The sequence below is a fragment of the Homo sapiens genome, chromosome 17, assembly GCF_000001405.40.
Source record: "Homo sapiens chromosome 17, GRCh38.p14 Primary Assembly".
Lineage (NCBI taxonomy): Eukaryota > Metazoa > Chordata > Mammalia > Primates > Hominidae > Homo > Homo sapiens.
Genome location: NC_000017.11, coordinates 66,275,434 through 66,297,697, shown reverse-complemented (window position 1 = coordinate 66,297,697; position 22,264 = coordinate 66,275,434). Strand labels below are relative to the sequence as shown.

The window sequence follows — 22,264 nt, the reverse complement described above, 5'->3', positions numbered from 1 at the left end:
CCTATAATCCTAGCACTTTGGGAGGCCGAAGTGGGCGAATTGCCTGAGTTCAGGAGTTCAAGACCAGCCTGGGCAACATGGTGAAACCCTATCTCTACTAAAATACAAAAAACTAGCTGGGCGTGGCAGCATGCGCCTGTAGTCCCAGCTACTTGGGGGGCTGAGGCAGGAGAATTGCTTAATCCCAGGAGGTGGAGGTTGCAGTGAGCCGAGATTGTGCCACCACACTCCACCCTGGGCAACAGAGCGAGACTCCATCTCCCAAAAAAAAAAAAAGAAAATTTCGGATCTAAAGGACCCACCCAAATAATCCCCGTATCTTTTCATTCGTGACTAGTTTAATTGACATGGGAGAGGGTATTAAGATCGTTCATAATGCTTCCCCAAACCTTGCTGGGGAGAAGTATCTGGCCATGCACATTTCCTGAATTTTTTAAACAGGAGCCAGTGGCCTCTATCATCAATAGGAGTTAACATATTGAAGTTTTTTCTTTTTTTTTTTTTTTGAGACGGAATCTCACTGTGTCACCCAGGCTGGAGTGCAGTGGCGAAATCTCGGCTCACTGCAAGCTCTGCCTCCCGGGTTCATGCCATTCTCCTGCCTCAGCCTCCCGAGTAGCTGGGACCACAGGCACCACCCACCACGCCCAGCTAATTTTTTGTATTTTTAGTAGAGACGGGGTTTCACCATGTTAGCCAGGATGGTCTCGATCCCCTGACCTCGTGATCTGCCTGCCTCGGCCTCCCAAAGTGCTGGGATTACAAGCGTGAGCCACTGCACCTGGCCTGAAGTTTTTTCTAAAAAAAAAAAAGAAAGAAAAAAAGAAAAACTTTTATAAATGAATTTTTTGAAACATATATAAAAAGTTTCAAACAATGAATCTCATTGAATCCTTGTCACCCAGCTTCAACAATTATCAAATCGTGAAGAATCCTATTTGATCTATCTCCTTCCTTATCTCTTTATCTCTAGATAATAAAACCTTGAAATAAAACCACCGTGAGGAGACTCCTGGAGGTGATGCTATGTTCCCTGTCTGTTGGTTTCACAATTACGCACATATAAAACTCATCAAATTGTACACTTTAAGTATGTGCAGTTTATTGCAAATCAATTATACCGCAATAAAACCTTGAATTTGTTGAAGGTTATAAAGAGCTAAATACAGCAAAACGAATAAGCAAACTAGAAGAAGACTAGTAGAAGAACCAGTTGTGTCTCTACCATGGCCTTCAGCTGACTTTGCCTGGAGGGCCAAGATAAGCTCACTCTGTCCAGTAGATGTGAGGCTGAAGTTGAGTTACTTTCCAAAAACTGAAACATGACCCTTCAGCTCTGTAGCAGACACTCTGCTAGTCCCAGGAAAACAAAATAAAGACGATACGCTCCCTGTCACTGAGGAGCTCAGGTCTTTCTGCTATAGCCCAAAAGGAGAAAGGTTTAGCCTGGAGGGGAGTCTCATTTTAAAAAGTACAATAGATTGGGAGGCCAAGGCGGGCGGATCACGAGTCAGTAATTGAGACCCTCCTGGCTAACATGGTGAAACCCCGTCTCTACTAAAAATACAAAAAAATTAGCTGAGTGTGGTGGCAGGCGCCTGTAGTCCCAGATACTTGGGAGGTTGAGGCAGGAGAATGTCATGAACCCGGGAGGCAGAGCTTGCAGTGAGCCAGGATTGCACCACTGCACTCCAGCCTGGGCAACAGAGCAAGACTCCATCTCAAAAAAATAAAAGAAAAGAAAAAGCATAATCGAATGGGCAAAAGCAAGTAAATTAAAATGAAAAGAATGCCATTTATTTCTCTTATCCCTTGAAAGACATTAAACAATTAGATGCCCAATCCAATTTAGAACCCCCAGCCAGATGTTTTGATCCGCCTTTCGTCTTCTTTCTTCCTCCTAACATTCACTCTCATCTCCCACATTCTCAGCAGGCTTCCTGAAGTCCCCTTATGGCTGGGCTGTGGTGGCTCATGCCTGTAATCCCAGCACTTTGGGAGGCCAAGGAGGGTGGATTCCTTGAGGTCAGGAGTTCGAGACCAGCCTGGGCAATATGGGTAAGCCCCGTCTCTACCAAAAATATAAAAAATAGTGAGTCTTTAAATAAATAAGTCCCTTTATTTACCCTCGCCAAAATAGGTTCCTTCTTCTACTCATAGCAAGATCAGTGTTTACGCCCTCTCCTCTCTTTTATTATTTTTTGTACTCTTTATTATATATGACTTTCGACAAAAAATCCCTCCACTTCTCTCTTTAAGGTAAGCCTTCCATCCTTGTTTTATAATTTTGCATCATAAAAAGTCTAGGAATTAGTTGTAAACAGGATAGGTTAGAGTGGGATCAGCATCTGAGCAGAAAGAAAATGCTGGCATTACCAAGATTCTCATCCACTCTTTCAACAATGAATGCTAAGTCCCAGAATACCAAGATATTATTTGTATATTATATATTGACACAGTCATGAGCAAAACATAGTCCCTACCTTTGTATAATTTGTGTTCCCTTTGGTGATTGGCATGGGATAGGGATCCTAGCAAAATTTAACTTATCACATTTGTTCACTTATATTCATTTATATAATAGCCATCTTTTTTTTTTTTTTTTTGAGATGGAGTCTCGCTCCATCACCCAGGCTGGAGTGCAGCTGTGTGATCTCGGCTCACTGCAACCTCCGCCTCCCGGGTTCAAGTGATTCTCCTGCCTCAGCCTCCCGAGTAGCTGGGATTACAGGCACCCACCACCATGCCCGGCTAATTTGTGTATTTTTAGTAGAGATGAGGTTTCACCATGTTGGCCAGGCTGGTCTCAAACTCCTGACCTCAGGTGATCTGCCCGCCTCGGCCTCCCAAAGTGCTGGGATTACAGGCGTGAGCCACCATGCCTGGCCAATAGCCATCATTTAATACACATGAGCAGCCGGGCACAGTGGCTCATGCCTGTAATCCCAGCACTTTAGGAGGCCAAGGTGGGCAGATCATTTGAGGTCAGGAGTTTGGGACCAGCCTGGCCAACATGGTGAAACCCCCACCTCCACTAAAAATACAAAAATTATCTGGGCATGGTGGCATGTGCCTGTAGTCCCAGCTACTCGGGAGGCTGAGACAGGAGAATCGCTTAAGCTGGGGAGGCAGAGGTTGCAGTAAGCCAAGATTGTGCCACCACTCCAGCTTGGACAACGAAGCGGACCCTGTCTAAAAAACAAAACAAAACAAAACAAAACAAAAAACACATGTGTAACTCCCTTCAAAACATTGATCCTGTTTTAATTTGGATGGTTTGGTCAGGCGTGGTGGCTCACGCCTATAATCTCAGCACTTTGGGAGGCCGAGACGGGTGGATCACGATGTCAGGAGTTCAAGACCAGCCTGGCCAAGATGGTGAAACCCGTCTCTACTGAAAATACATAAAAATTAGCCAGGTATGGTGGCAGGCACCTGTAATCCCAGCTACTCGGGAGGCGAAGGCAGAGAATTGCTTGAACCCGGGAGGCGGAGGTTGCAGTGAGCCGAGATTGCACCACTGCACTCCACCCTAGGAGACAGAGCGAGACTCCATCTCAAAAATAATAATAATAATAATTTGGATGCTTTATGCTATACACAGTAATGGAGTAAATACTGTGGGACTGTGTACATGCATGAATACAAATTTATCTTGTCACCTGTTACCTGTCTTTTGTCAGTTTAAGTTGCAGGCCCCCCATATTGGTGGGAGTAAAAACTCCCATCAATAGGCATAGGGCAGAGATTTAAGCAAAACTTGCCTCAGGACGTGTGTCTAACAAGGTTCATATAGATAAATCAGTAAGTGACAGAGAATGACCACCTCCTCTTAGAGCTATTTCACAAGATTCAATGTGGTGATGACAGCCTGGGTCTTTGGAAGGCACACATAATATTATTTGGCAAACTGTATAATCTGCCATTGTATCTGTGGTTATCACAGCCTTAGTACTAGAATGGTGATACTTCCCAAAGCCTTGGAATCTATTCAGATGTCATTCAAATTTCTGTACAAAATGCAATTCTAACAAACAGGAAGAACATAAAAAATATTCAGAAACAGAACTTAATAAACATAAACTGAGCACTTATAACAGGCACTGTTATAGATGCTAGAGATAAACAATAAATAGAACAGTGTCTTTTTGTTTGTTTGTTTTGCTTTTGTTTTGACATGGGGGTCTCACCACACTGCTCAGGCTGGCCTCAAACTTCTGGGCTCAAGCAATCCTTCCATCTCAGCCCCCTGAGTAACTGATACTACAGGCATGTACACTGTGCCCAGCCAGAACAGTGTCAGTGGGAGGGAGGTTGTCAAAGCTTGTTTAGAGGGAGTTTCAGAGAGAAGGGAAGGGGAGAAATTGAAGTCAGAGGCTACAGAATGCTGTTGCAAAGAAGAGTGAAAAAAGAGGGTGGCCGATGAGATCTAAGTAAATTTTTATGGGAAAATAACTGTATTTTTGTACAAAAATAGGAATGGCCCTAGAGAGGAAAGGAAGCAGTAAACGAATGTGTCAAATAACTATGTTGGCTAAGTATGGTTGATAGGTGTCAAGGAGAAAAAAACTTTTCCTCCACTCACTTAGGTCCTGTGAATTAAACTCACAAAAGACAGACAAGAAGCAAAGATACAAATGTGTATATACATATATAAATGTGTAAATTTGTATTTGTGTGTGTGTGTGTGTGTGTGTGTGTGTGTAGGAACACAGAAAAAAATGTGACTCAGCTGGATGTGGTGGTGCATGCCTGTAATCTCAGCTGCTCAGGAGGCTGAGGCAGGAGAATCGCTTGAACCCGGGAGGCGGTGGTTGCAGTGAGCCAAGATCGCACCATTACACTCCAGCCTGGGCAACAAGAGCAAAACTCCATCTCAAAAAAAAAAAAAAAAATGTGACTCAAAATGTTGGTTAGAATTTGGGGCTTATATACTGTCTTCATGGAGAAGAGGGAGAGAAAGACAACTTAGGGGAAAACCAATGACTTTTAGGAAAGATAAATGGTCTTTTAGAAGACCAGATGGAAGATATAGTAGTTTTGTGTCAATGTCTGTTTAGGTGATCTCTTGATCCCAGTGTTGACTTGTCTCCAGTGATAAAAGCCAATCTTCCCTGGTTATGAAACTGTCAGGGCTAGAATTTATATCAGTTGAGATCTTTTGGGAGTCTCCACTTTCAAAGGAATCCAGAAAACAAAAGTTTCTTCCTGCATCTGCTCATTCTCAAATGCCTTCAGCTCAAAATAATTGTTATGCCACCATGGCATAGCCTGTGTTTTGGAGACAATGGCAAAGCAAATATTAAAAAAAAAAAAAAAAAAAAAAAGAACCCGGCTGGGCGCGGCGGGTCACACCTATAATCCCAGCACTTTAGGAGGCCGAGGTGGGTGGATCACCTGAGGTCAGCAGTTCCAGACCAGCCTGGCCAACATGGTGAAACCCCGTCTCTACTAAAAATACAAAAATTAGACAGGCGTGGTCGTGGTGCCTGTAATCCCAGCTACTCGGGAGGCTGAGGCAGAGAATCACTTGAACCCGACAGGAGGGGGTTGGAGTGAGCCGAGATCGCACCATTGCACTCCAGCCTGGGCAACAGGAGCAAAATTCCATCTCAAAAAAAAAGGACCCTACCTTGCAGGCAGATATAAGAAAGATATAAGAAAAGTCACCCTGGTATCACAGGCCCACATTGCATTCTCTTCTGAAATGTTTGTTTTTTTAAGTTTAGAAGCAAACTGTGTATACTTGTGTTCAAGAGAAGTTAGCATACTAGAGGTTTTAACAGACTAATTGTGTTTCAAATTTAAAATGTATGAGTAATGATTATAGACTGAGATTTTAAGTTGAAATCATATGAATTTTATAAACATTTTTAAAACACTTAAGAGAATTTTAAGATATTCACCAGTTGTATAAGTTTAATTACTTAGGTTTATAAAAACTTACTTGTTTGTTTGTTTGTTTTGAGATGGAGTCTCCATCTGTTGCCCAGGCTGGAGTACAGTGGTGCAATCTCAGCTCACTGCAGCCTCTGCCTCCTAGGTTCAAGCAATTCTCCTACCTCAGCCTCCCAAGTAGCTGGGATTACAAGTGTGTGCCACCACACCCAGTTAATTTTTGTATTTTCGGTAGAGACAGTGTTTCGCCATGTTGGCCAGGCGGGTCACAAACTCCTGACCTCACATGATCTGTACACCCCAGCCTCCCAAAGTTTTGGGATTACAGGCGTAAGTCACAGCACCCAGCCTTACTTAAATGTTAAGTCTTTTTTATAAAACAGTTTTTTTTTTATAGAGACAGGGTCACACAATGTTGCCCAGTCTGGTCTTGAACTCCTGAGCTCAAGTGATCCTCCCGCCTTGGCCTCCCAAAGTGCTGAGATTACAGGCATGAGCCACTGCACCTGGCCAAGTGTTAAGTCTCAATGAGGAAATCTTTGTCAGGCAATTGATAGTTTATTATTGTTTTCCTTAAACACCCGTAAAGTGATCTGTATACAGAAGAGTCAGATTTGTAAGCAGCACTTAAAAACTTAAATATGTTTAAAAATCTGTAACTGTAGTAAATTAAATATGAAATTTAAAAATATGTCCTCCTAAATGATGTTATGGGCAAAAGGAAAGGATGACAATGTTGGCTAAGTATGGTTGATAGGTGTCAAGGAGAAAAAAACTTTTCCTCCACTCACTTAGGTCCTGTGAATTAAACTCACAAAAGACAGACAAGAAGCAAAGATACAAATGTGTATATACATATATAAATGTGTAAATTTGTATTTGTGTGTGTGTGTGTGTGTGTGTGTGTGTGTGTAGGAACACAGAAAAAAATGTGACTCAGCTGGATGTGGTGGTGCATGCCTGTAATCTCAGCTGCTCAGGAGGCTGAGGCAGGAGAATCGCTTGAACCCGGGAGGCGGTGGTTGCAGTGAGCCAAGATCGCACCATTACACTCCAGCCTGGGCAACAAGAGCAAAACTCCATCTCAAAAAAAAAAAAAAAAAATGTGACTCAAAATGTTGGTTAGAATTTGGGGCTTATATACTGTCTTCATGGAGAAGAGGGAGAGAAAGACAACTTAGGGGAAAACCAATGACTTTTAGGAAAGATAAATGGTCTTTAGAAGACCACAGGATGGCCATATTTGCTCAGCATACTGCTTCCCAAGTCAGTGGTAGTAGAACCTCCTATTCGCTGTTAAGCAGTTCCTGTCTTTCTGGGTTCTTTCTCTTTGCTTCCACAACACTCCACGCTTCTCCAGCACAGTCTGGAAATTATCTTTTTATGTTGTCTCACCAACTACAAGAGTTATAAAACGCTTTCTTGATACCTCTCCCACTTTGTGGTACAACACCTAGCATATTCCAGGTCCATTCACTCCACACCCGATAAATATTACTTGAGTGCCCCCTATATACCAGACAGTGGGGGCACAGCAGTTACTGAAATAAAGTACCTCCTCTATGGAGCTTCCATTCTAGTTTGCTGTGCTGAACAGAAGGAGAATCTGGTGCCAGACCTCCTTTTATTGACCAGATCATTCATATAATATTAACTTCTTCAGCTGATGTATTTGCATTTAATTTTTTTTTTTTTTTTTTTTTTTTTTTTTTTTGCCAGGTATGGTGGTTCATTCCTGTAATCCTAGCACTTTGGGAGGCCAAGGCAGGCAGATTACCTGAGGTAAGGAGTTTGAGACTAGCCTGGCCAACATGGTGAAACCCTGTCTCTACCAAAAATACAAAATTAGCCAGCCATGGTGGTGCGTACCTGTAATCCCAGCTACTTGGGAGGCTGAGGCAGGAGAATCGCTTGAACCATCAGCAGGGAAGTAGGGGAATACCGGAGAGGATAGGTGGCCTTCTTGTCCCCTCATCATTCCAGATTAACATAAAGGGATTTGGAAATAAATTCCCCTTTTGATGCCTGTGAAACAGGAGATTGTCAAAAGGGGTGTTAATTAGTCTCTTCTCTCTCTCTTGGTCTGTTGGGACTGCTATAACAGAATACTACAGACTGGGTGACTGATAAACAATGAGCATTTAGCTGGGCTGGGTGGCTCATGTCTGTAATCCCAACACTTTGGGAGGGCGAGGCAGGCAGATCACAAGGTCAAGAGTTTGAAACCAGCCTGGCCAACATGATGAAACCCTGTCTCTACTAAGAAAATAAAAATTAGCCGGGCATGGTGGTGCGTGCCTGTAATCCCAGCTATTTGGGAGGCTGAGGCAGGAGAATCGCTTGAACCCAGGAGGCAGAGGTTGCAGTGAGCCGAGATCAAGCCATTGCACTCTAGCCTGGGCAACAGAGTAAGACTCAGTCTCTGACCAAAAAAAAAAAAAAAAAAAAAAAGAGCATTTATTTCTCACAATTCTGGAGTCTGGGAAGTCCAAGATCAAGGTGCTGGCAGATTTGGCATCTGGTGAGGGCCACTTTCTGGCTTAGAGATGACACCTTCTTGCTGTGTCCTCACAGGTTGAGGACGAGACTCTCCCGAGTCTCTTTTGTAAGGGCACTAATCCCATTCAGGATGGCTTTGCCCTCATGACCTGATCACCTCCCAAAGGCCTCCCCACCTGATGCCCGAAGGTTGGGAGTTAGGATCTTAGCGTAGGAATTTGGGAGGAAATATAAACATTGTCTGTAGCACCTCTGTTTCCTTGCTTCCCCGCCTCTGCCTGGAGGCTGATACTCAGATTGCCTGGGGCTTTTGTTTGTTTGTTTTTTGTTTTTTTAATTTTTTTGTTTGTTTTGTTTTGCTTTGAGACGGAGTTTCTCTCTTGTTGCCCAGGCTGGAGTGCAGTGGTGTGATCTTGGCTCATTGCAACCTCCACTTCCCAGGTTCAAGTGATTCTCCTGCCTCAGCCTCCCGAGCAGCTGGGATTACAGGCATGTGCCACCATGCCCAGCTAATTTTTTATTTTTAGTAGAGATGGGGTTTCACCATGTTGGCCAGGCTGGTCTCCTGACCTGAGGTGATCTGCCCACCTCAGCCTCCCAAAGTGCTGGGATTACAGGTGTGAGCCACTGCACCCAGCCTGTTTTTGTTGTTTTTCTGAGATGGAGTCTTGCTCTGTTGCCCAGGCTGGAGTACAGTAGCAGGATCTCAGCTCACTGCAACCTCCACCTCCTGGGTTCGAGTGATTCTTCTGCCTCAGCCTCCTGAGTAGCTGGGATTGCAGGCACCCGCCGTCACGCCTGGCTAATTTTTGTATTTTTAGTAGATACTGGGTTTTGCCATGTTGGTCAGGCTAGTCTTGAACTCCTGACCTCAAGTGACCCACCAGCCTTGGCTTCCCAAAGTGCTAGGATTGCAGGCATGAGCCACCATGCCAGGCCTCAGAGTGCCTGGTTTTTAAAGGATATCATCCAATCTTTCCCTCTTTGTGCCCAAGAATCCAGACTCTGAACCAGCCGTGCCTCTCATGAAAAAAACAGAACATCTTTGCTGCCCCCTTGCCCTGTCACCATCCTTTCTCTGAACCCTTGCTGCCTTCCTCTACTCTGCTGCTGCCAGTCTCCAGGTCACTGGCACCGCAAACACATCCAGCTGCCTCAGGGAAGGCATGCTTGTGCCATATCCTCTCAAGCATGGTGGGCAAAGTCCATAGCTCCTGGCTTGTGATCTTACTCACACATATTGCAGACTCCTTGGAATCAAAGGTGAAAGCCAAGGTTCCTGTCTTTAAAGAGCTCAGAGTCTACTTGTTTTTGTTTTTGGAGATAGGGTCTTACTCTGTCACCCAGGCTGGAGTGCAGTGGCACAATCATAGCTCACTGCATCCTTCAACACTTGGTCTCAAGCAATCCTTCTACCTCAACCTCCTGAATAAATAGGACTGCAGGCACACATCACTGTGCCCAGGCGATTTTTTTTTTTTTTTTCGATGGAGTCTCGCTCTGTCGCCCAGGCTGAAGTGCAGTGGCACATTCTCAGCTCACTGCAACCTCTGCCTCCTGGGTTCAAGCGATTCTCCTGCCTCAGCCTCCCCAGTAACCAGGATTACAGGCATGTGCCACCACACCCAGCTAATTTTTGTATTTTTAGTAGAGATGGGTTTTGCCATGTTGGCCAGGCTGGCCTCAAACTCCTGACCTCAAGTGATCTGCCCTCATCAGCATCCCAAAGTGCTGGGATTACAGGCCTGAGCCACTGCACCCAGCCATGGGTGATTTTTAATTTTTTTTTTTTTGTAGAGATAGTATCTCGCTATGTTGTCCAGGCTGGTCTCAAACTCCTAGCCTCAAGCAATCCCCCTACCTTGGCTTCCCAAAGTGCATGAGCCACTGTGCCTGGCCTGGATCTATTTGTCTTGGTCCAGTGATCAATGATTTTGGGAGATGCTCTAACTTCATTTCATTTCTGAGTGATCATCCATCACAATGACCTTTCCACACTTTAGTCTTAAGTTCTTCTGATTTTCCAACTTATTTCACCAAATACTCATCTTTCAACAGATACTAAGGTGAACAGGAAGAGCTCTCATCCAAATAAATTATCTAGGGGAAGAAAAAAAGGATTTAGTGAAAACCATTCACAACTCTTAATTTATCCTTTTACACAATTGAATTTTCAGATCTAGAGTGTCTTAATACACCTATAGCTATATCCATTTCTACCTGCTCCAATATCTAAAAAGTGTTGAAATATTAGACTGAACTATCAATCACCAATTATTTTGATAATATAAAATAGCTTAACCACCACAGTTTGTCTCAAGTTGCTTCATAGGAGAAACAGATCCATAGAGAAATAGATACATGTATATTTTTAAGGAAGGATGTGAAGTATAGGGAGAGACCATCTCTTCATGCTGCAGTTGTATTCCTGTAGGAATGTACAAAATGGATTTCTATTTACTGGAAAAGATTCTGGGTGGATTTCAGATGTGGTCATCTGAGATGCTGGAGCCCTATTCATCTGTACAGAACAGGCAGGGGGCTCCGAATTAATGAATCCCAGAACCAGAAACATTTCCACTTTACAACTAAGCGTGCTGGGACCAGACTTTCTCAAACAAAACAAAGTAGAGAGCTAAAGTCGTCGTGATTTTGCCTGAAACAGTCGGCCAATTACAGCCAAAAATGTGTTCCCTAGAATTTCAGGAACACCGCCTCGTAGTTCTCCTTCACCCCTCTTGGGTGTTTGGGACAGAGAGAAGCAAACAAACAACTCAAGGGGCAAAACCTGGCACCCTCCTCTCCCCATTCCTCCTTCAGTGATCTTAGTGATAAAGGTGCTTTGCTCGTCAGCTTGAAAGAAATTACATTGGCCGGGCGGGGTGGCTCATGCCTGTAATCCCAGCACTTTGGGAGGCCAAGGCGGGCGGATCACGAGGTCAAGAAATCAAGACCATCCTGGCCAACATAGTGAAACCCCTTCTCACAAAAAATACGAAAATTAGCTGGGCATGGTGGCACACACCTGTAGTCCCAGCTACTTGGGAGGCTGAGGCAAGAGAATCGCTTGAACCCGGGAGGCAGAGGTTGCAGTGAGCCGAGATTGTGCCACTGCACTACAGCCTGGTGACAGAGCAAGACTCCGTCTCAAAAAAAAAAAAAAAATTGACATATTTTCAGTGAATCTACACAGAGGGAGTGTGTTTCCTCAAAAACATCCTGTTCCTGTGTTCCCTTTCTGTGAGTGGCAGGGTTGGGGGTGGGGGGGGTATGCTCTTTTTGCATTTGAACTAGTTTTAAACTTTTAAAAGAAAACTCAAGGGCATGTTAAAAATAAAATAAAATACAAACACAAATATTAGAGAAATGTTTCTCTCCCTAGTGCTCCCACTTCTCCAATCCCACAGAGATAACTTCTATTTTTTTTTTTTTTTTTTTGAGATGGAGTTTCGCTCTTGTCATCCAGGCTGGAGTGCAATGGCACTATCTTGGCTCACTGCAACCTCTGCCTCTTGGGTTCAAGCAATCCTCTTGCCTCAGCCTCCCAAGTAGCAGGGATTACAGGTGCCCACCACCATGCCCAGCTAATTTTTGTATTTTTAGTAGAGACAGGGTTTCACCATGTTGGTCAGGCTGGTCTCGAACTCCTGACCTCAGGTGATCCACCTGCCTCAGCCTCCTAAAGTGCTGGGATTACAGGCGTGAACCACCATGCCCAGCCCCCATAGAGATAACTTCTGTATAATACTTGCCTTTGAAAGAAAAATATTCATATTGCACATGGTATCTTGATCCAGGTTTTTAAAAAATGAAAGACAAAATGCTTCAGATAGCCTCTTACTGCTCATCACAGATCTTTTTTAAAAATGACCAACAAATTGGCTCCTCCAGACATTTGGCATTAACTAGTTAACTGGCACCCATAGCTTAGGGCATCTTTGTCTAACCACATCAAAGAACGTCTTTAAATGTTTACGCAGCCTTGGAAGTGATCAGTACATGTCTGTGGATCAAATAGGTTGTATTTGGATCCCTAAAATGCTATTTCATGGAAAAATAATAAGTAAGCATGCAGCCATCACTTTTGGCCTCCTCTGCCACATAAAATATGCTTTAACATAGATTTCCACCAAAAAAAGCCTCAAGGAACAATCAGAAATTTAACCTGTGCTAAAGAGAGAGACAGAGAGAGAGAGAGAGAGAGAGAGAGAGAGAGAGAGACTGGTTATTGGAAAGGCTCTGAGTGGATTCATTCCAGATGTTTTTATTACTGCTGATTATCCAAGTGAGGACCAAAACCTTCTTTTACTTTTTATTTATTTACTTATTTTTGAGACAGGGTCTCATTCTGTCACCCAGGCTGGGATGTAGTGGTGTGATCACAGCTCACTATAGTCTCAACCACTGAGGGCTCAGATGATCTCCCATCTCAGCCTCCCAAGTATCTGGGACTACAGGTGTGCACCACCACATCCATCTTATTTTTGTATTATTTTGTAGAGATGAGGTCTCACTATGTTGCCCAGGCTGGTCTCGAACTCCTGGGCTTGGGTGATCTTCCTGCCTCTGCCTCCCAAAATTACAGGTGTGAGCCACCATGCCCTGCCCTCTTTTACTTTTTTTTTTTCTTCTTCTTCTTTTGAGACAGAGTTTCACTCTTGTTGCCCAGGCTGGAGTGCAATGGCGCGATCTTGGCTCACGGCAAACTCTGCCTCCCCGGTTCAAGTGATTCTCCTGCCTCAGCCTCCTGAGTAGCTGGGATTACAGGCATATATCACCACACCCAGCTAATTTTGTATTTTTGGTAGAGATGGGGTTTCTCCATGTTGGTCAGTCTGGTCTTGAACTCCTGACCCCAGGTGATCCGCCTGCCTCGGCCTCCCAAAGTGCTGGGATTACAGGTGTGAGCCGCCGCGCCCGGCCCCCTTTTACTTTTCATGAAGAAGATTGGAGCAATAACAGTAGAAAATGTGCAGCTATATTGGAAACTCTATCAATGTCAAGTTGTTATGAAAGTTGCTACTCTTTTGTCCATTGTCTGAGAGATTCTGTAAACAGAAGCCTGTGGTCTCTGCCTCCTGCTCACCATCACTTTGCTCACAGGCTGAGGCTCCCGGAGGGGCTGGCTGAGCAGCTGGAGTCTTGTGTGTCTCCTTAGGCTAACAAAAAACCTAGACAGACAGCAAAACACTTGCATTCTTCAAGCTTTTCCTTGGGAGGATTTCTACTAGCAGATCAGTGGCACCTGATAGGAAGATTCATAAGCAAACAGGAATTCCATGTGTGTTATGTGAATTTGTACTCAAGGATGCAATTGAGGGCCGGGTGTGGTGACTCTCTCCTGTAATCCCAGCACTTTGGGAGGCTGAGGCGGGTGGATCACTTGAGGTCAGGATTTTGAGACCAGCGGGGCCAACATGGTGAAACCCCATCTCTATTAAAAATACAAAAATTAGCCACGTGTGGTGGCAGGCACCTGCAGTCCCAGCTGCTTGGGAGACTGAAGCAGGAGAATTGCTTGAACCTGGAAGGTGGGAGGTTGCAGTGAGCCGAGATTGCATCACTTCATTCTAGCCTGGGCAACAAAGACTCCAAAGAGGAACGTAATTGACATTCTGTAGCTCCTTGATAGTGCTTCATGGACCCTCAAAAAATAAAGGAGAGAATAGTGTTTTAGAGTCAAACAGATCTAGATGTAGTTCCCAGCGCCAATCCATTTGACTGTGTGACCTGGATCATTTAACCTCCCTGAACCTCCATTTCCTCTTCTGTAAAGTGGGAATAATAATGAACATCCCTCCAAAAGCTGCTGGAAGAACTAAGTGAGATGGAGTCCATGAGGCCCAAAGCCCAGTACCTGGCACATAGTAGATGCTCAATAAATCTAAGTTCCCTATCTAAGACATATATATTGGGGATGGAAGAGAGAAAGGATCACAAGGGGAGAAAAAAAGGAAGACAAGGAAGGAGAAAGCCAGGGCCAGCAGGAGTAAGAATCAGTAAAACGTATTTTCTCATGTGACTCTCCTTGTGTTTGTTTGCACTCCTCTTTCTTGAGTGTGTGCTTTTCTCTTTGCAATAAATCTCTGTAATTTCATTATTTTCTGACCCACCTTTGAATGCCTTCTTGTGATGATGTCAAGAGCCTGGACACCAGCTGGGGTCGAGGTCCCATCGGTGTTTGGGGACCTCCCTCAGCCCACTGGTGTCATCTTTATGGCCATCCAGGCTGGAGTGTCGTTGCCGAATTCTAGAACCACTGGCAGTTTATAAATCCTACTCCAATATTAGTCGGAGTCTTCTCACTCTCTGGAGTTACTGCTAATTTCTTCCTCGTTCCTTGGCGTCAACTGCAGCCTGACTCCCCTCAGCTGTAGCGCCTCTGCTCCCTCTGGCTGGAAAACCCAGTTCATCCTGATGGGATGAGAGGGAGGTGGGAAGGTTTCAACCTACACTGAGTAGCCCTGAGGAGCTACCGTCCTTCCTGACTGGAGGCTAAAGAGGGTGGAGGGTAAAATCCCACACCGTGCAGTGGCTAGATGGCTTCCAAGGAGCACTGTGACTTTTTTCTGGGAAGGATCTTCTGTTTTCCCAAGGGACCAGCTGTGGCAAGACACTGACCCTGGTTGGGAGCTGTTTCATTTTTCCTGTCTCTCTTTAAACTCGGCTTTTTGGCTGGGCACGGTGGCTCACACCTGTAATCCCAGCAATTTGGGAAGCCAAGGTGGGCGGATCACTTGAGATCAGGAGGTCGAGACCAGTCTGGTCAACATGGTGAAACCCTGTCTCTACCAAAAATACAAAAATTAGCCAGGTGTGGTGGCGCACGCCTGTAGTCTCAGCTACTTGGGAGGCTGAAGCATGAGAATCACTTGAACCCAGGAGGCAGAGGTTGCGGTGAGCAGAGATCACATTGCTGCACTCCAGCCTGGGCAACAGAGTGAGACTCCATCTCAAAAACAAAAACAAAAACAAAACAAAAAAACCCCGGCTTTTGCAATTTTCTCTCCCCACGCTGCTTCTTCTTACTTCACACAAAGGTTTAGTGAACATTTTGGACACAGTAAGATAGGCCTCCTAGATACTGCCCTCTGGAATGCCAAATCCAGGCCTCTGATTCTTAATGGGTCCCTTCAAGGTCCCTGTTTATTGGCTGTGCTGAATCATCTCTACTTCCAAGTGGTACTTGGTGATAAACGTTCAGATGGATATCAGCAGGCTTGTGACTTTCAAATGAAACCTACAGCTGGTCCGGCTTCTCTTTGAAAGCCTCCCCGTTTTCAAAGCCTCAGGGGCCATGGATCCCTGGACAACACTAGGGCTCCAGGGATGCCTACATGCCAAGGCAGTCAGCCAAGGGTCTAGGAATGCCTGTCTTCTGTCATGGCCATGGAGGTGACCAATTGTAAGGGCTGAGCTCTTGCACTTGGCATTTCATCAGCTGAGGACCATGAGCAATACACTGTGGGGACCACATCTATGCCTTACAATGACCCTAATTGGAACGATCAACAGAGCCAGGCTGATGTAAGAAAAATAAATCATATGGTGACTTGTTTAGTGGAGGGAATAAAAAAATGTACCAGGCTGGGCATGGTGGCTCACGCCTATAATCTCAGCACTTTGGGAGGCAGAGGTAGGTGGATTGCTTCATCTCAGGAATTTGAGACCAGCCTGAGCAACACAGCGAAACCCCATTTCTACAGAAAATACAAAAATCAGCCAGGCATGCTGGCATGTGCCTGTAGTCCCAGGTACTTAGGAGGCTGAGGTGGGAGGATGGCTTGGGCCTAGGAGGTGGGGGTTGTAGTTGGTTAAGATCGTGCCAATGCACTCCAGTCTGGGCAACAGAACCAGACCCCATCTCAAAAAAAGGAAAAAAAAAAAAGGAAATAAAAAATGTACTGCTAAGCCTGTGAACTATAATAAAATAAGGGGAATAACTCAAGGAAAGGATGACAACCCAGATTTGTGTCGGGGTGCCTTGTGGAAGCCCTAACAAAATATACTAACATTGACCCCCAATGCTGATGCTGGACAGATTTTACTAGGGACACACTTTATTAACCAGTCAGCACCTGACATCAGAATAAAATTACAGAAATTGGCTTGAGGACCCCAAATGCCTATTAATCAAATGCTTGATGTGGCTTTTGGGGTATTTAGTAATAGGGACGGGGCTGGAGAGGCTGAAAGGACCCAGCGTGGCAAACAACAGAACAGACAGCATGCTCCAATGACAGCAGTTGCTGTAAGCAGCGCCCTGTAACCTCAGGGTCACCCGGGGGGATGCTTCGCCCATGGACCAAACAGGCCTAACAGCAAACCTGCAGGCAATGGTTGCTGCTTCAAGTGTGGGAAGCCAGGACATTGGAGTGAAGACTGTCCCAGTCAGGGGACCCCACCTAGACCCTGTCCTGCAAGCAGGAGGGCCATTGGAAAAGGGATTACCTTCAGCTCCAAAGGGAAAGGAGAATGCCCGATGCCATCATGGCTGTAACTAGACCAAGGTTCCTGGTGGCTCCCACAAAAGGCATGGTCATCACAACTGAGGAGCCTCAGTGATTCTTCACGTGGCTGGTAAGAATATTAATTTTTGGCCAGGCGTGGTGGCTCACGCCTGTAATCCCAGCACTTTGGGAGGCCGAGCCGGGTGGATCACGAGGTCAGGAGTTCGAGACCAGCCTGGCCAAAATGGCAAAACCCCATCTCTACTAAAAATACCAAAAATTAGCCGGGCGTGGTGGCGGGCTCCTGTAATCCCAGCTACTCGGGAGGCTGAGGCAGGAGAACCCGAGAGGTGGAGGTTGCAATGGGCCGAGATCGAGCCACTGCACTCCAGCCTGGGTGACAGAGTGAGACTCTGCCTAAAAAAAAAGAAAATTAAATTTTTTCTTTACAGGCGTGAGCCACCGCGCCCAGCCAAGAATATTAATTTCTTTTTCTTTTCTTTTTGAGACAAGTTCTCACTCTGTCACCCAAGCTGGAGAGCAGTGGCGTGATCAGGGCTCACTGCAGCCTTGACCTTCTGGGCTCAAGTAATCCTCCCACCTCAGCCTTCCGAGTAACTGGGACTATGGGCAGCCCTGATCATGCCTAGCTAGTTTTTTGTATTTTTTTTTTTTTTTTTTTTTTTGTAGAGACAGAGTTTCACCATGCTGCCCAGGCTGGTCTTGAACTCCTGGGCTCAAGCAATTCATCCGCCTCAGCTTCCCAAAGTGCTGGGATTACAGGTGTGAGCCACTGTGCCCGGCAAATATTAATTTCTTAATTGACTCAGTGGCCACTCTGTCCTGAACTGCCACTCTGGGCCCTTATTCTCCAAAAGCTGCACTGTCATGGGTGTCAATGGCACCCCCAAATCAAAACACTTTACCCCTAAGCTACAGGCTAGAAAACTATATGGTAACTCTGGTTTCTAGTTATGCTGGAATGTCCTACTCTTTTATTGAGACAGGACTTCCTAGCCAGCTTTGCAGCCACTTTACATTTATCAGGCCCTCCTTCTTGGCAATGCTTGTATTTTCTAAACCAGCCTCAGAAAAACAGGAGATCCTCCATAAAATAAAGTCTCAAGTAGACCCATAAGTATGGGACCAAGAAACCCCTTGCAAAGCAATACATGCTCAGCCTGTGATCATCTCTTTTTTTTTTTTTTTTTTTTTTTTTTTGAGATCGGAGTCTCGCTCTGTCGCCCAGGCTGGAGTGCAGTGGTGCGATCTCGGCTCACTGCAAGCTCCGCCTCCCGGGTTCAAGCCATTCTCCTGCCTCAGACTCCCAAGTAGCTGGGACTACAGGCGCCCGCCACCACGCCCGGCTAATTTTTTTTGTATTTTTAGTAGAGACGGGTTTCACCATGTTAGCCAGGATCGTCTCGATCTCCTGATCTTGTGATGTGCCCGCCTCAGCCTCCCAAAGTGCTGGGATTACAGACTTGAGCCACTGCGCCCAGCCGTGATCATCGCTTTAAAGACAAAAACAATTTCCCATGCAAGAGCCAATATGCCCTCAAACCGGAAGCCAGGTGAGGACGCCAACCTTTAATTGAGAAGTTTTTAAAACAGGGCCTCCTGGTTCCATGTCAGTCAGTCTCTTTGTAATACTCCTTCCGTCCCTGTCCAAAAACCAAATGCAGAATAATCATCTAGTTCAAGACTTAGGAGCTATTAATGAGGTTGTAATTACCTTACATTCTATAGTGTCAAATCCTTTTTAATTACTTATTTATTTTTTTGAGACGGAGTCTTGCTCTGGAGTGCAGTGGCGCAATCTCAGCTCACTGCAACCTCTGCCTCCCAGGTTCAAGCAATTCTCCTGCCTCAGCCTCTGGAGTAGCTGGGACTACAGGCACGCACCACCATGCTTGGATAATTTTTGTATTTTTAGTAGAGACGAGGTTTCATCATGTTGGCCAGGCTGATCTCGAACTCCTGACCTCAAGCGATCCACATGCCTCGGCCTCCCAAAGTGCTGGGTTTAGAGGCGTGAGCCACTGCGCCCAGCCCTATAGTGTCAAATCCTTATGCCATATTTACCCAAATACCAGAGACACCAATTGATTCACGATATTAGATTTCAATAATGCTTTATTTTGTATCCTTTTACACTCTGACTCTCAATTTTTGTTTGCTTTTGGGTGGACTAATCCTGAAACTAATTTTACCCAGCAGTACACCTGGATAGTACTGCCTCAGGGCTTTAAGGATAGCCCTCACTTGTTCAGAAATGCTTTGCCACAAGAATTAAGAGAGTGGCCGTGTGCATGGGCTCACACCTGTAATCCCAGCATTTTAGGAGGCTGAGGCAGGTGGATCACGAGGTGAGGAGATTGAGACCATCCTGGCTAACATAGTGAAACTCCTTCTCTACTAAAATACAAAAAATTAGCCAGATGTGGTGGCACACGCCTGTAGTCCCAGCTACTCCGGAGGCTGAGGCAGGGGAATCGCTTGAACCAGAGAGGTGGAGATTGTAGTGGGCCAAGATAGAGGCATTGCATTCCAGCCTGGCAGCAGAGCGATTTTCTGTCTCAAAAAAAAAAGAGATAGATTCATTCTTTGATGTTATACATTATTATTATTATCTGTTTTAATATTAGTCACTGTTGTACAGAAACCAGCCAGTTATTGATCAGGCGACTACATGATGGGAATAGAATATTTGGGAATAAGATAATTAAAATAACTATGGGCAGTCCTATTATTGTAGGGGTAATGAAAGAGGCAAATGGATTTTCATTCATTTTAATTCTCAAGGGGTTTTGTTCTTCTATGATTAGAACTTTTCTTAGCATTAGGTTTGCACCGCAGTTCTGATAAATTTCCATCTTTTTCCAGGAATCTTCATGAATATTCCACCCCTTAATTCAATAAACCCATAAATGTAGGGACTCCAAACCCCATTGCACTTGCACTTCCCTTTCTTAAGTGTGTAATTCTGCCTTTGCAATAAATCTCTGTACTTTCACTGAAAGAAAAAAAAAAAAGGTCTCACTCTGTCACCCAGGCTGGAGCGCAGTGGTGCTATCACTGCTTACTGCATTTCAACCTCCAGGGCTCAAGCCATCTTCTCACCTCAGCCTCCCAAGTAGCTGAGACTACAGGCACAGGCCACCATGCCCGGCTAATCTTTTTATTTATTTATTAATTTTTTAGAGACGGGGTCTTGCTATGTTGCTCAGGCTGATCTTGAACTCCTGGCCTCAAGCAATCCTACCACCTCAGCCTTCCAAAGTGCTGGGATTACAGGCATAAGCCACCACACCTGGCCATGATAAAACTCCTTTTTGTCATGGAGAAAATCCTCAGTGCTCCACGCTCAGCTGCTGCATGTTCCAGAGCTTCACTTCTCCCTCCCGCAGTTCAGCCTTTGGCCATTTCATTCCTCATTAGCACCTTCCCTGGGAAGAAGAACAGAGAGAAGCTGGAACTCAGGTCAGTCAATTTTGCTATTAGTAACTGTTGCCAAGATTGAGTTGGGGAGAGGAAAAGAAGCAGTCAAAATAAAGGTTAGGAATTATGTGTATATTTTTATAATACAGCTGTCTATTTCTCTGTCTCTCATTTCTCTCTTTTTTTTTCTTTTTTTTTTTTGAGATGGAGTCTTTCTCTGTTGCCCAGGCTGGAGTGCAGTGGCACTGTGTCAGCTCACTGCAAGCTCCACCTCCCGGGTTCACACTATTCTCCTGCCTCAACCTCCTGAGTAGCTGGGACTACAAGCGCCCGCCACCACACCTGGCTAATTTTTTGTATTTTTAGTAGAGACGGGGTTTCACCATGTTAGCCAGGATGGTCTCGATCTCCTGGCCTTGTGATCCGCCCGTCTCGGCCTCCCAAAATTCTGGGATTACAGGCATGAGCCACTGCGCCCAGCCCTCATTTCTCTTTACTGAAACATCTCTGTAGAAAAGTCTGGGTCCCATGTCTCCACTTCCTCACCCCCACTCATTGCTTAACCCCACTCCCAATCCAGTGTTCTGCTAGGTTTGTCTTTTCCAAGGCCATGAGTAATCTCTTGGTTGCCAAATCATAGGGCCTTTTCTTATCTGTGTGATATTGGAATGGCTAACCTTAACACTCACTGTTCAGATTGCCAGCTATGCCCTTATCTTCTGAGAATACTTGTTGTCTACCCAACTCCATTTTCCCCTTCTGCTTTGCAATGCTTTTCTAGGGATATGTGCCCATCTAAGATACTACACTCCTAAACTCCTTTGCAGCTGTGACCAGTGAGATATGAGCAGGATTATGCACAGAGAGAGGCAGCCTAGAAAGCCATCAGCCACTTCTTCTGGCGGCTTGGACAGGATCCTGACTGTAGCCTCCTTTTTCCAGCCAGCCAGGGCTTTGGAGGCCTGAGATCATTACATCCTAATGAAATTTCCTTTTCCCGAATACAGCTGTGGTCTAAGCAGCCTCCTGTAGAATAAGTGTTCTGGGAGGCTGCAGCTATACCTTTGGGGGTCCCTGAGAAAGGGAACGGGAAATTCATTTGGGAGAAGAGGGTTTCTGTGTGAAGCATTGAGAATGATCCTTGGTTGTTCTTTCTGGTGCAAAGAGTGACATATCGAGAGACAACAGAGCTGTAGGGGATAGGGACAGGAGCCCCACCTAAGCACCAGCACGAGCCAGGCTGGAAGGGGGACCTCTTAGCTTGAGCAGCTGGAAATGCCCAGGTTCCTGCTTGTGCTTAGAGAATTGGAGGAGATTGGAGTGAGAAGTGCTCTGCAGAAGCCTCTGGAAGTCAATCTGACACCTCAGCGGAGGATGAGAAGCAGGCCCCATCAGGAGGACGGGTGGGACTGGGGTGGGGTGGGGCTGCATGGGAATGATTGTGCGGCGAGTAGACGAGCCAAGTAGGAAAAGATCAGCAAGTTGTATAAAGGCCACTGGGGAATACTCCTAGTTAGAGTGGGGGACCTTGGGCACAGTGAGTCACTGTGGCATCACACAATCCTTGCTGGTTTTGTTTTCTCAGTGACACATCTTCCTGATACACTGTGGTCACTCTACTGGCTAGTCTGCAAGTGGTGCCAGCTCACTGAGTCATCTACTGGAAAGACTGTCTTAGGCACGTAATACCTTGCAAAGATAATCTGCACTGCTGTGGGGTGGTCCATAGGGCTCAGATGAATTCCTGAGACTTTGGGTAAATCCTATTCTCTTCTGAGCCTCAGTTTTCTTAGCTATGAAATGAGAGTGGGATTCCACTTATGTGAACAAAGGCTATTGGCTTTGTTGTAAGGACTAACGAGGTGATATATTTATTTCTTATTTTTATTATTTTTATTTTATTTACTATTATTATTATTATTTTTTGGAGATGGAGTCTTGCTCCGCCGCCCAGACTGGAGTGCAGTGGCACAATC

At 45.3% G+C, this 22,264-nt stretch overlaps 2 annotated features.

Annotated features, from left to right (window-relative positions):
- Positions 1,071-1,511: a transcriptional cis regulatory region, noted in NCBI's record as "candidate enhancer chr17.4440 targeted for multiplex CRISPR interference". NCBI's record gives its function as "positively regulates PRKCA gene expression with high confidence in K562 cells {active_cell/tissue: K562}" and the evidence as "EXISTENCE:mutant phenotype evidence [ECO:0000015][PMID:30612741]".
- Positions 20,873-21,167: a silencer, noted in NCBI's record as "tiled region #14325; HepG2 Repressive non-DNase unmatched - State 8:EnhW". NCBI's record gives its function as "represses a minimal TATA promoter and a strong SV40 promoter by Sharpr-MPRA in HepG2 cells {active_cell/tissue: HepG2}" and the evidence as "EXISTENCE:reporter gene assay evidence [ECO:0000049][PMID:27701403]".